Here is a 14,520-nt window from a genome sequence, read left to right on the forward strand (position 1 = left end):
CAGCTAAAAACAGTGAAACCCCGTCTCTACTAAAAATACAAAAAATTAGCCGGGCGTAGTGGCGGGCGCCTGTAGTCCCAGCTACTTGGGAGGCTGAGGCGGGAGAATGGCGTGAACCCGGGAGGCGGAGCTTGCAGTGAGCCGAGATCCCGCCACTGCACTCCAGCCTGGGCGACAGAGCGAGACTCCGTCTCAAAAAAAAAAAAAAAAAAAGCTAACTTTAAATGTTTAGTTAACATAAGCTATTACTGTTGAAATGATTTTCATTATTGTAAAGTCAATTAATAAATCAGTTAAAATGATCCATGTAAATTAGTCTCTTTTAAGGTAATCACACTGACCTATTTAACCTTTATAAAAAATATCTTTATACTAAGACTGTCTTGGAATCATTAAATCAATAAGTGGAAAGATCCTTTCCATTTTTCCTACAGAGAGGGAATGTGGTATTTAGAAACAAATATATATATAGCAAGACATTTTTGTGTTTTTTTAAATGCATATTTACCAGTAGAGGTCACTATCACACCAATTCACTGGATTTGTCCAGCTACTGCTAAAAGAAATTAGAGGGCCTGGCTGAATTTATAAGAAAAAAATCAAAAGCCAATACCTAAAATATAATACACAGGGATATGCTGCTGCACAAATATTAAAAGATAATGTAGATAATTCATCATTTTGGACTTTTAATATGATTATCATACTGATGTTCCTATTGTCCCATGGAGGTAAAGGTAAATATATAAACAGAGATGCCTATATTTCTATTTATGTATAGGAACTCATTATTTATGCAAGCCAAAAAGTAAAATATTCAAATATTTACATATGTCCTACCTAGAAACTTTCTAAAATCTTCTTTCCAAAAAGGAAAAAAGATATTACAGCATCATAAAATTAAAATAATATATATTAATGTGCACATTTTCAGACATTTCAAAAGGATTCAATACTAACTAAAACAATGTCAAATCTGCTAGAAAATGCAATGGCACAGGAGCTTAGGACAGAATAGGTGTGGAGACGGGATATAATCTTCAATGCATGATCAGCAAAGCCAAGAAGGAAATAAAGGTCAGCAATTCAATTATGACCATGTGAACCCCAAATTCCAGGACATCAGAAAACTCTCTGGTTAGACAATCCATGGTTTATCTCCCTTGACTACTCACTTCATGCCCAAGTCAGCAGTCAAGGCTTAAAGTCAGGTCTACCTTCTGAGTCAAATGAATTCCCCATCTGCCTCCAAGTTACACCCCACCCTTTGCTAATTCCTAAAATCCTTTAATAGGAGAAAAGGCCCTTCCTTGTACCACATTGTCAAAATAATAGTCTAGTAATGAGTTTTGATTTAAATATAAATACTTAACAAAGTAACAACTTTAAGTCACTGTGGTCAATAGTCTCTCCATCTTGATGGAGGACGACTTAGGACCGTAAATGTGAGAAAAGACAAGAGACAATAAAATAATCTGTAGCTTATATTTCTTAAATCAAACTGGTCATGAAATAACTATTTAGCCAATATTATATCATGTGATAAAGACAAGTAGAGAATACGTGCTTTTACCTTGTTAATGTATCAGATGATTTTTCTAATTCCTCACACTCCATGTGAAACACACTAGAAAAAGAATCCTAAAAACAGACAACACAGGCTGAGAAATAAGTTTGACAAGGTAATGAAAACTATCTAGATACAGACATACATGCTATGGAATTGACAAAAGACCCCAATACTTGTAGTATATTTTTACTTATTCTTGGACAAAATAGACCCAAGTACTCATTTTATGACATCCTCAAAACTGCTTCCCATTTAATTAAAATAAAAGTTTCGTTCATATAATTTCTGATTTTCTCTTGGAAGAATGATTATATGAGGACTATTTGTTTTTTTCTAGGTGCTGATGGATTTATTAGTTTCAAAATTTTTTACACTTATTGAAAATTCTCAAGTTTTGGCTTTTAACGCTTAAGTACATTGATTGTTGTTAAATCCCAGGTAAAGAATCCCTTCTTAAAAAGATGTTTCATTCAGTAATACTTTATGTGATTATTAAAATAACTGTGAAAATTTTAACAACATAGAGAAATACTTTTGAAATTACATTAAAGGTGTGGTGGTTCATGCCTATAATCCCAACACTTTGGGAGGCCAAGGTGGGTGGATCACTTGAGGCCAGGAATTTGAGACCAGACTGGCCAACATGGCAAAACCCCTACTCTACTAAAAATACAAAAATTAGCTGGATGTTGTGGGCATGCCTCTGTCATCCCAACTACTGGGAAGGCTGAGGCACAAGAATTTCTTGAACCTGGGAGACCAAGGTTGCAGTGAGCTGCGATGGTGAGATCGTGCCACTGCACTCCAGCCTGAATGATACAGCAATACTCTGTCTCGAAAATAAGAAAGAAAAAAAATTTTTTAAATCACATTAAAAAGCAGAACAGCACATTATGCCCATGCTCTATTTATACAGAATTGGAAGAAAACAGAAAAAAAAAATGATAGTTTAATCTGGGGATGGAAGAAATCTGTACATTTCTTTCCTTCTTACATTTTCACCTTTGCTCATGTTGTTGATGTACTTTTAAACAACAAATAAATGTAATACAAATGAATATAAAGTCACCTAATTCCTTTTCTAAATCCTACAACTTAAGTAGTCAAAAAGTAAGCAAAATATCTTAATAAGCATATTGTTGCGCTATACTTCCAAGTAGCACTGATCCAAATCAGTGTACTACCATAACAGGTGTTAACTGGTAGAAGTATCCATTGAGTGCGAATTAAAGTGATATTTAAGTTGTGTAAAAAAAGGAGTGCTTCACATATAACTTTCAAAAATTAAATGCAAAAAGTGGGTCATAGAGCAAAAATTACAGATTAAGTGACATACTACATTAAGGAATTCTGACCTGAAGTTTAAAATGATGGCATGGCTACTATATTAAAATCACCTCTATATTAAGGATTTTATAACTGATTGAAAAATATGAAATAGTATCTATGAAAATACTGATTACCTTTTAGCCTACTGAGTTCTCATTTGATATTAATCAGAATTTTGTATTAAACAATGCATTCATCTGACACATATACACATCCCAAATGGTTGAGATGTTGGGTCATACAGTATAGTCCTTATATCTAAATCAACTAAAATTTCTTAATATAAATTAAGTACTGAATACCTTTTATTATTCTACTTTGCCCCAAAACATAACTTCGGATATCATATGTAGATTATAATTGACCTATACAAGTGATAGTGCACGCTCTCTTTCCTATTAATCCACAAATGAACAACCTATTCTTAGGGACTAAAGGAAAAAGAAAACAAACAACTACAGCAAAAAGAAATATTCCAGAAACAGTGGTTCATAGGTTGAGAAGGGAGAGAAAGTGCATAAAGAAAAACTGCCTTAGGCCAGGGGCCCTGATTCTACTGGCAAACTCAAGACAGCTGGCCTGGCTGTAACTAGCACTCTGTGACAACAGTCTATCTTACCCCAGACACCTGAAAATGTTTCTTCACATTACAAAATCAATGGACTGAAATCTACCAGTTAGAACAGCTTAGTGGTTTTCCACTGTTGGTAAAAATATGGGACTTATGGGGACCATTAGTAATACTCCTACTGGCTATGCCTTTTGGTTTCTATACAATTTCTAGTAAGAAGAAATTTTTATACCCAACCCATCCAGAATGAGGAGTCTGGTCTGCCTGTTCATAGCAACTAGGTCACCAGTATTCCTGACCATGAAAAGTCAGCACACTGTAATGACAATATATTTCTCCATGAAGACAGTGTAGCCATTGGTAGAAGCAGCACACAGACATTCCCATGGTAACTATTTTCAGGAGGTTGGGATGGGGACATGAACAGAGGTAAAAAAAGGCTGATGAAGACACCCTCCACCCTCCACCCCTACCTGTCTTCAACCAGAACAGCTCATACCCTGATTAGTTTTATATACATATTCATACACATTTGGGTTTGAGAGAGGGTTCTAAGACCAAAATGAGGTTTAAAAGTAGTGCTTATAGAAATATAAGTTTCTGTCTTTCTAAAAATAAAAAAGTCATACTCTGTACTCACGGAGCAATCTTCATCCACTATGAAAATGGTGCATTTCTGCACTTGCATGAAAGAGATAATAGTGGCAGCTATTTTCTTCAAAATTACTTCTAATGATTGTTGTTCTTCAAAAATTAAACTAGCAAGGTCAAGCAGCACCTAGACAAAAAAATTAGGAGCTCATTATTTAGCAATTGATTGTAATTATTAAAGCACAATTATTTATATGGGTTATAAATTGTTTATATAACCTAGCAGGTTATGATCAAGTCTGCATTCAAATATAAATACGTCTCCACTTATTAACAAAATCCTTTATTGACTGTTAATATAGTTAATATAGTTGTTAAGATCACAGCCTCTGAAGCCAGAGTAATCAGTTTTTAATCCTGACTTCCTTTACTGCTAGCTTTGAGACTGAGGGCAAATTTCTTCAACATGGGGATATTAATGACATTAAAATCATAGGGCTGTTAGGAGGATTAAGATAATATTTATAAAGTATTTTGAACACTATCTGGTACATAAAACGCACTGTTAATGTTGTTCCAAACTTTTCAGATCAACATTTGTCAACATTATCAATATTTTTACAGAGCACAGTAAATATTACCCGTCAAAGTAAACAAAGTTTTAAGAATTTCCTTTGTGTTTTTTTCTGGTAGATTTCTCTTTCTTCTGAACCTCATAAGTATTACCAAAAACTTAGTGGAGGTGACGCTATCCTAGCTGAGGTCTGAAAGATGAGCAGGAATCATTCAGGTGAAATAGGGAAGAGAAATATTTCAGGCAAAAATAATAGAATTCAGAGAAAGTGGTATACTGAAAGTTTTGATTAGATTTTATAAGAGCACAGACTATAAAGAGAAGAACTGGGAGATGAGGTTGCAGCGTTAAGTAGAAAAAGAACCTGAAAAGCACTGTATGTCTTTTGAAGCAGTTTCGACTGTGATGCACTGCAGGAAGGAAGTGGTGTGATCCCATCTGTTTGTAAAAATGGGGACTGGATGAAAGGATGGCAAGAATAGAACAGGGAGAACATTGCAGTTAAAGTCAATGGAAGGTCCCATATCTTATTAACACAGATTCTAAACAGAGAAAATAGAGGGTAGAGAAGATGAATTATCAAAGAAATAATGAAAAAAGAATTACACAGAAGTAAACAGTTTGCTTAAACCTCCAAAGAGATGAACCAACATACAGATACCAGCATGATGAATGAAAAAAAATACTGTGAAATTAAGTTACAAAAGCAAATATAAATAATCTGAAAAGCTTATAGACACATAGACAAAAATAGATATAAATAATAATATAAAAATACAAAATATGTATTATATGCCATGTTATATATTTATATTGTAGATAATAAATATAGCTACAAAAGAGCTAAGAATAAGGACAACATGGATGCTAGTTAGAAGACAAAGCACTACTTCTAAATTCTGAGAAACTGATTTTTCAGTTTAGAATTTTATACCCAGCCAAAGTGGCAGGATGCTACAATACATATTTTCATACATGCAAGGACTCAGAAAGTTTACTTTACCAATGCCCTTTCTTAAGTAGTTAATTGAGAATGTGCTGCAACAAAATAAGGAAGTGAGAAAGAAGTAGGGGATCCAAAAGATAGTGGAATCTAAGAAAGCAATGAAGAAAAGTTCTATGATGACACTAGTGTAGCAGGCATAGGGCTAAATAGTGTAGCTTGGAAGAAGAAAGGTTGGAGAACCTCAGTTTGGACCTCTGCAAACAGAAGCAGAAGGGGAACTCAACAGGATGCCTAATATAATGGAGTTTGGGGAGAGGAGGAAACAAGAACATGAGGCTATACTAGAGCAAAGAGTTCAAGGAAAAAAATTCAGAAACATCAGGAAAAATGAAAAGTTCTGTAACAAAGGTAGTATGAACAACATTTACATAATTATAGTGCTTATAAATAGTTTCTTTAGAATTGCAACTTTAGAATTAACCTAGACAAAGCCCAGGAAAAGTTCATCATGGTTGTAGAACAGTATATATTACCAATGTGGGCAATTGTAAAAGAAAAAGTCCAGATGGAAAAAGCAGGGCTAAGGAGCGGTAGTTGGGAAAAAGAGATAAAGAGAACAGGGGATGCTAAGACACCTGTCTTACAAAGTATGAAATCAAGAGTAATATCTACAGTTGACAGAGCAAGAACTAAAACCATTATTTAACAACACAAGTGCAACCCATACAGTGACTTAAAACAGTGACAGAATGATTCCAGTAGGATAAGAGTAATGGCAAGTAACGTGTGGTGTAAGTCAAATAAATTCTCATCTCCCAAGTTAATGAACATTGTCTAATAAGATAAACAACTAAGCATGGAAAATAGGAAATACAAATGACTACTAGAAAAAATAAAGTATTGAGAAACTGAATCTGTACTATCTAAATTTTTAATCATCTGCATACATTACTTGGATAAAAATGTAACAATTTTTAAAAAGTATTTCTATGCACTTTCTTTAGTAATCAGACTGACCTGATTTCTCTTGTTCTCCAGCAGTGAAGTCTCATAGAGCTGAGCATTATGAAGAACAATACCACAAAATGCCAAATAAGCAGCAAAGTCCTAAAAAACAGATAATAGACAAATAAAAACGGTACATAAAACAGTCTAGTTACATTGCCTGAAATACAGATCCTCAAATATTTACAGTTAGAAAGCCAAAAGAATAGATGTTTGTTCTACATAAAATTAGGATGATATAAACTAAGTCTTAGCTAAAGGTATTGGAATAGTCTCCTAAGGTATAAATTAGGTATAAATCAATAAGGAGAAAAAGGAGAGGAACTAAGATAAAGACTTTATCTCTTTATACCACTTGAAGTTACAATTTATTCCATGCAAAATTTGGTTTAGCCTCTCCATGATATTAAGACTTGGATCTATGCTGAAATTATTATATAAATAGCTTGTAACTCATTACTGCAGCAAACAACAGCTTACATACTTGTTAAAAGAATATTCACAATAAAAGCATAAAGTTAAATATTATATAAAGTTGCAAACATTAAATATGTCATTTTTAACATGGATCTATCATCCTCATTAAACTATACTAGGGTAATGTGTTTCTAATTATATTAATTATTGATTGACTATTAATTATTATTAATTAATATTATTATAATTAATAATAATTAATAGTATTAATTATTGATTGAAATAAATATTTAGACAGCATATCTTATCCACAATGTGATAGAGCCTTAAAAATTCAAATCAATTCAAGAGGGAGTTATATTAATGGATTATAGACATAATAATGGAATTCAAAGCCAATCCAGGAACCATGTTTTCACACCAAATATTCTCAAGTGCCATGAACAGAACAGGAGCCTAGATGTCTATTACTCGATTTAAAAAGTATTTGCTATGTTCTGAAGCAATTATAACAAGGGGAGCAACACAGGTGCCAACCTAGCCTATAGCATAGAGATAAAAATAACTGTCTTGTTTGAACGTCTTCCAAATTCAAAAGCTCCTAGTAATTTTCAGGGGAACAACATAAACAGCAATGGGCTTTGAATAGGAATAATTCAGTAGGCTATGATATACACATAATTACTTATTCAATAGGAAAAATAATAAAACCTACTCATAGAATGAATTTATCGACAGGTTTACGGGCTTTTGTCCTTAAATGGAAAGCATGTCAATGAGGCGTGTGGAAGGTACTCCTTCAGAGTTGAACGAGAAGTATAATAAAATAATGCTGGCTGTTGCTCTCTCTGAAGCTAAATTTACATCATCCAGCCTGAATTCATACCTTGGCGCCCCACTGTCTGTGCGCAAGGCTTATAAAACATTCAGAAATTTGCTACGCCAGGAGGCAATTCCAATTTTTAGTCAACCAAAAGTGCTGAACTTGGAGCAGTGTTTTTATGGGGTTTTACTCAAGGTTGGATCTCTATAGCAGTGATGAAAGGTAAATGATATAGTTAAAATACCATAAGTCACCCTCTGTGTGGCCCCAACATGCCCAGTGCAGGCTTGGCAGCACAGCAAGGAGGGAATTTGGGGGTTTCTGCTGACTGAATAACACAAGTACTCAGATGTGAAATCATCGCTTTATTTAGCCTAAGATACACTTGAACATTTCAGATCATTTTTAACTCTAATTTTTTTGTGTGACCAACAATTTCAGCAACAGCTAAACCTAGAGGTGTATATACTATAAAGAGAAAGCATCTTCCTAAATTGGCTCATGTCTGACACAAGTTTTGGTACCTTTTCATCTTTTTCAGTAAATGTCCCACCGTTTCCTGATTTCTTGTTGATGGCCTGGGCTACACCAACAACCTGGTATAAGGAGAGAAAAGCGACAATTTTTTTATTGACTGAAATTACTTGTAAAAATTCACCAAAATGTATTTATAGAAGATATCCTGCATGTGCTTTAAAATAACACTAGTCTACAAAACAAAAGCAAAACCCCTCATCAGCATTTGAGCAAGCTTTACATCATTTACCACATTCTTTCATCCTAATAAGAATTCGAATGTTTTTAATTTATTAGGGCCCAAACTATGTTTGATCCTGTGATTTCACCCTGCATTTTGAATGAAATTATTTTAGCAATCACATTTTAAGTATATATTTTCCATAGTTTTTAAATATAAACAACACATTTTGATTACAGTTCCAATAAAGTATATAAGAATATGAACATTTTATATGGGTTTTAAATATAATATTCCAAAACGGCTAAATGCTCTTTTACTAAAAATGAAACAGGACCTAGTGGCCAATCATGGAAAGAATGCAGGAGGATCATTAGGGCAAAAATAATTCTTAATGTAGGGATGCAGTCCAACTTCTTTTGAAATTTCTGCCCTTGAAAATTATTTTACCTTCAACAGACTTATTTTTGGGAAAGAGGGTACTGAAAAATCAAAACAGGAATTAACATGCTGAGGCTTATTTCAAATAGATCAGAAGGCATTTGGAAGTTACTTACCTTTTAGTTCCACCTTCATTTTGAGTTATTACCTTAGTCCTATAAAGACCTTCAACTTACTCTTCTCTCCTCTTTATTACTTATTAATTCTACTCTTTCCTTTCTTCTGCTATTTAGTATCAGTGGAATAAGCTATTATCCTCTAACTGGCTATACTTCAGAAATATGTATCTTTAGTTCTATGTGGATGGTTCACTTTGTTTTCTCAGCTCATTATAGTATCTTAGCTTTAAGAAAAAGATATAAAATTCTCCTCTAGGATAGCAGAACAAGGAAGGGGAAATACCTTCTTGTCTTATGTAGTTTTCTAGTCTTCTTAACATTTTTCTCTCTCTCTCTCTTTTTTTTTTGCCCATATGGTAAAGGGATATTAATTGTTTTTAAAAGCAGAATTATGCAATTATCCTATACCTTTTCATTTCCCTTAGAGCAACTCTCTCTTATTTTTACATGCTCTTTAGCTCTTGAAAAGAGTGGCAGATTTCTAGATGCTCTAACCTCAGTGACTAAATTTCTAGTAAAATTCCTCTAAGGTCAAAAATGTCTGGATTGTAGTTACGAATGTTCACGGGAACTATAATAAGAGCCACTTGAAGGTCATTGGGGTCTAATATAGAGTAGTATAATTTGGTTATTTTAAATGCTCAGGTATTCATTCATCCACTCAACAAATAGTGAAGTGCCTATTACGTACCAAAAAGTAATAAAAAACTGGGGAAGTGATTACTCTGAACGAGCTCAGAATCAAGAATGAGTGATACATAAACATAGACTTATAGCGTAGTAGGATGGTGGGATCAGTTTCATGATACAGTGGCCATGGATTGCTAGGAGCACTGAAGGGGCACTTAATGTGGGTAAAAGAGAAGGAGTCTCAGAAATGACATTTAAATTTTTTTTCTCTAATAAATAGTTTTACAAAGTAAAGACATAAACTTTAAATCTGTGTTTTAAGAAAGATGAGTTTCAAACAGATATAGAAAGTATTATGCAAAGTTTCTGATAAATATGCAGTACAAAAAGTATACATTGATATGCTATCTGTACCTGGAACTGTATGAAGCAATGTACTAAGCAAGAAAATAAAGAGAAAGCTCCTGCTCACTCAAAAATATAAGAAGACAAAAAATCAGCTGCTTATTAAATGATCACTAATCAAACTATATTAACATTTTAGTCCATCATCATATCAACATAAATTTACAGTGAGATGATGATTCCTTTCAGTCTTTTTTTTTTTTTTCTTTTTGAGACAGGGTCTTGCTCTGTTGCCCAGGCTGGAGTACAGTGGCACAATCACAGCTCACTGCAGGCTTGATCTTCGAGGCTGAGGCTATTCTCCAACCTCAGCTTCCAAGCAGCTGGGACTACTTGGAAGGCATGTACTACCATGCCTGGTTAAATTTTAAAAATTTTTTTGTAGAGATGAGGTCTCACTATGCCCAGGCTGGTCTCACTATGCCCTGCACTCAAGCAATCCTCCTGCTCTGGCCTCCCAAAGTGCTGGGATTACAAACATACAGTAAGATAGAAGAAATAAATTAAATGTTTTATAGTATAGGAGGGTGACTATACTTAACAAAAATGTATTGTATTAGGGGTAATAGACACCAGAAATACCCTCATTTGATCACTATGCATTATATACATGTAACAAAGTTTCACATATACCCTGTAAATTTGTACCAATAAATAAAGAAATATTAAAAAAAAAACAAGTTCTGTCAAGAGACTATTAGACCAGGAAAATATAGTTGGTCCTTTGTATCCAACTGTGATAGAAAATGTTTGACAAAAAAATTTTAAACCCACAGCAATAAAAATAACATAAAATAAATATAGTAGGACAATTACGTACAGAGCACTCACATTATATTAGGTAGTATAAGTAATCTAGGGGTGTGCTCAGAGCAGGGGGCTGAAGAATGGCTCCTCTGTTTATAACACATGGAACAGGCATCTGAGGTCACTGTGACAAGGGGCACAAAACTTGTGACTCCCTAAGAACAAATGTCCTACAAGTGTAACAAAAAAAGTAATCCAGAGGTGATTTACAGTGTATGAGAGGATGTGCATAGGTTTTATGCAAATATTATGCCATTTTATATAAGGGACTTGGGCATCCACAGACTTTGGTATGAGGGGATGGAGTGGAGTCCTCAAATCAATCCCTCTTTGTATACTAAGAGACAACTGTATATCTAACATGTATATGTGCCTCCATCCCCAGAAGGATGACATTTGAAAAATGACACTGATAAAAACAGACAAAAAATAGAAGAAAAGGCATAGTGTTCATCCAGGGTTGCATACACAATAAAAGACAAATTAACAGTTTAATTCTGACTTTAAGGATCCTGAGCAAAACTGGCATCCTCTGCCCTCATGTTCAAATAAATTCAGTCCTTCTTTCTGCTGTCATCCATTGCTTCTTTAAACAAATTAGATCATTGTCTTTAAATCAAGTAACTGTTAACTATAGGCTTTGAAATGTCCATTTTTAATGACAGCTTTTACTCTAAGTATATCTCAGACTCCATGTGAGAGGCAGCACCCCTAAAAGCATTAGCTTCCATATCAGAATGTCCATTCACTTTTGCCTACCTGCTGGCTAACTGTACTCTCAGATATGGGCACTCCACGCTATTTCTGTAAAAGCGCAAAAAAGCCTTTCTGTTTTCTATTTTACTGGCACTATGCACAGCACAAATGGATGTTATGTCCTCACAGGGTCGAGTGTTCTTTTAGGAATGCAAAGGCCAAGACTTGACTCTCACTGGGCGAGCAGTATGGAATGTGACAGCTGGTTGTTTCAGGGCAACTGATCATTGCCACAGTGAGCAATTTCTTCTTCAATAAGCAGCTGCCCCAGACATTTACTGAGGTCATACATCAATCCCAATACATTTCCCCATCCCCGGTTCAGGGGATGCTCAGCATGGAAACTAAAAGCAAAGGAGGAAAGGACAGACTACAAATCATAGCTATCCCTCTCTCTCAGCCTCAGAAGATCTCCACTGCAATGACAGGACTCTAGACAGTCTAATCTGAGCCAAATACAAACTTTACTAAGAAAACTAGAACTTAACAATATATAGAGGAGTTAGGGGAGAATTTTCCCTAGTGCTCTTTTCAAACTTTTCTTTGACTCATTTATTCATTCTGCCATAAATACTTTATTCAACAGCTAACTACTAAGTGCCTTTATGTACCAGTAGTGAACAAAACAGATGAAAATCCCTGTCCTCAGAGAGCTGACATTCTAATCAGTGTTAGGCTTGGGAATCCCACCCCCACATCCTCTCCCCACCTGCTTTACAGATGAGAAAACTGAGAGTGAGAGAGTTGACATAACCGATCCAGGCTTTCTGACTTCTCTTCTGAATCCTAAGGAATCATCAAGTTATGGTAATATTCCATGTGGTAGGCAAATAATGGCCCCCAAAGATGTCCTTGTCCTAATCTCTGGAACCTACGAATATGTGACCCTTAAATGACAAACGGGGTTTTTGACATGTGATAAAGTTAAAGATCTGGAGATGGGGAGATTATCCTGAATTATCTAGGTGGGCCCAATGTAATCACAAGGTCCTTGTAAGGAAAAGTGGAATGCAGGAGAGGCAGAGTCAAGGAAACATTTGATGATGCTGTTCTGCAGATTTTGAAGACAGAGGAAGGGGCCATGAGCAAAGGGGTACAGGCAGCCTATGGAGGCTAGAAGGGCCAAGAGAACAGGTCTGTTTCTAGAGACTCCACACAGAAACACAGCCCTGTAGATGCCCTGATTTTAGCCCACTGGGAATTATTTTAGACTCTGAAGTCCAAAGCTTCAAATAATACATGTGTGCTATTTTAAGTCACTAAATTTCTGGTAGTTTTTTTACAGCAGCATTAAGAAACCAATACATTCCATTCAATTGTGATTCTTATATTCTTGCATTATTTTTCTTCTTCTCCTCACCTCATTTTATCTCTTCTGTTTCACTATGTAAATCCTCACTGTCTTTGAAGAACTTGACATCTCATTCCTAATCATCTTCCTGCCTTCAGTCCATCTTTGACAATTTAGCCAAATTTATATTCTTGGGGCACTGTTGTGCATACACAGATCATCTCATTTCTCAAGAATTTTAATGGTTTCACCCATCTACAGAATAAAAATTAAAGACTCTACCTAACATTCCACACTCTCAACTTAACTATATCACTTACATGGGTCTTTGGGTTAGAATACCGCAATGTCCTGTGTTCACATAATTCCTTGAAATATCACCTCTCTACTGAGGCCAAATCTCCAAAAAATCTTCCCTTCAGACCTACCCCTCTGAAACTCCATGTGGCAGTTGTATACGCCCTATACGAGGCAGGGTATTCCTTTTTAACCTAATTTTCTTTACTCACATCCTAGCCCTGCAATTAGATTGCTTTCTAAGTACTTGATTTATATTTTATGCTATTATCAACACTTTGCATTATTTTACATGTACTCAAAAGTTGAATAGTATGTGTTGTTGATGATAATGGGAAAAATGCCAGAAAGAATAAAATTTTTTAGGGTAATGTACTAACTGAACAATGCATATTCAAATAATAATTAATTATGTCTTCCCATTTTTGGCTCTAGCCTTTGCTTAATATTAAGAAATCCATCCATATCTGAGAACTTTGTGTGGCAGTAAAAACTTTATTTTCTTAATAAGCCATTAATTATGGAGTTGAAACTTATAGCCTAAGGCGACACTGGAAGAGAGAAGAAAGAAAAGCTTGAGATTATTTAATTTTTAATTTAAAAAGTATAGAAAATCACAAAGAATGAGACAGTAAACATCCATGCCTTTGCCATCTAAAACAGTGTTAGTGTGAGACTTGTTAAAACACAGTTTCGTGGGTCTACCCCCCAAATTTCAGATTTTGTAGATCTAGACTGGGGCCTGTATTTCTAAAAGTTCTCAGATGATTACAAATGCTGCTGGTCCAGGCACAAAAGACGCATTGACAACTACTGATACAGAATTACTAAATGTTAATATTTGGTGATGTTTCCTTTATTAATACTATTAAATTAAGATAAAATTAAATTGGACTTCCTCTTTCCAGTCTTTCTTCTCCCCCCTGTTCCTCCTACCATAGTCAACCTTCTTCATTATACTGTTAAAAATACATAAATCTATACACAAAACATAGTACTTTTATCTTTCAAAAAGGTTTCTTAAATGAAATAATATATAGGAATCATTTTGCAACTTGCAATTATATTCAATGTTGTTTTTTAAGATCAATTCATATAAATCTGGTTCATTCATTTTATATACAATATTGCATTCCATATCAAACTGTATTCATTTGATCTCCAAAGAATGGATGTTTGGGTTGTTTGCAACTTTTTGCTACTACAATCTTTAAGAAACATCTTTGATTTTCTTCTTGTGCACATGTGCAG

The 14,520-nt window shown here is 34.6% G+C and overlaps 1 protein-coding gene and 1 non-coding gene across 5 annotated transcripts in view; one reads left to right on the forward strand and one right to left on the reverse strand.

Moving 5' to 3' along the window:
• PDE5A (phosphodiesterase 5A) overlaps positions 1-14,520 on the reverse strand; it is a 134,402-nt gene that overhangs the window by 64,320 nt on the left and 55,562 nt on the right. For all 4 annotated transcript variants that reach the window (NM_001083.4, NM_033437.4, NM_033430.3 and 1 more), the window contains exons 4-7: positions 8,351-8,422; positions 6,599-6,688; positions 4,111-4,248; positions 1,574-1,641 (exon numbers count right to left, since the gene is read on the reverse strand). In NM_001083.4, the coding sequence (NP_001074.2) occupies positions 1,574-1,641; positions 4,111-4,248; positions 6,599-6,688; positions 8,351-8,422 (368 nt within the window). The remainder of the gene's footprint in view (positions 1-1,573; positions 1,642-4,110; positions 4,249-6,598; positions 6,689-8,350; positions 8,423-14,520) is intronic.
• On the forward strand, positions 10,977-11,103 carry LOC124900187 (small nucleolar RNA SNORA11). Its single transcript, XR_007058534.1, has one exon. It is a non-coding gene; the product is annotated as a small nucleolar RNA SNORA11 (small nucleolar RNA).

The sequence above is a fragment of the Homo sapiens genome, chromosome 4 (genome assembly GCF_000001405.40).
Source record: "Homo sapiens chromosome 4, GRCh38.p14 Primary Assembly".
In the NCBI taxonomy this organism is placed as follows: Eukaryota; Metazoa; Chordata; class Mammalia; order Primates; family Hominidae; genus Homo; species Homo sapiens.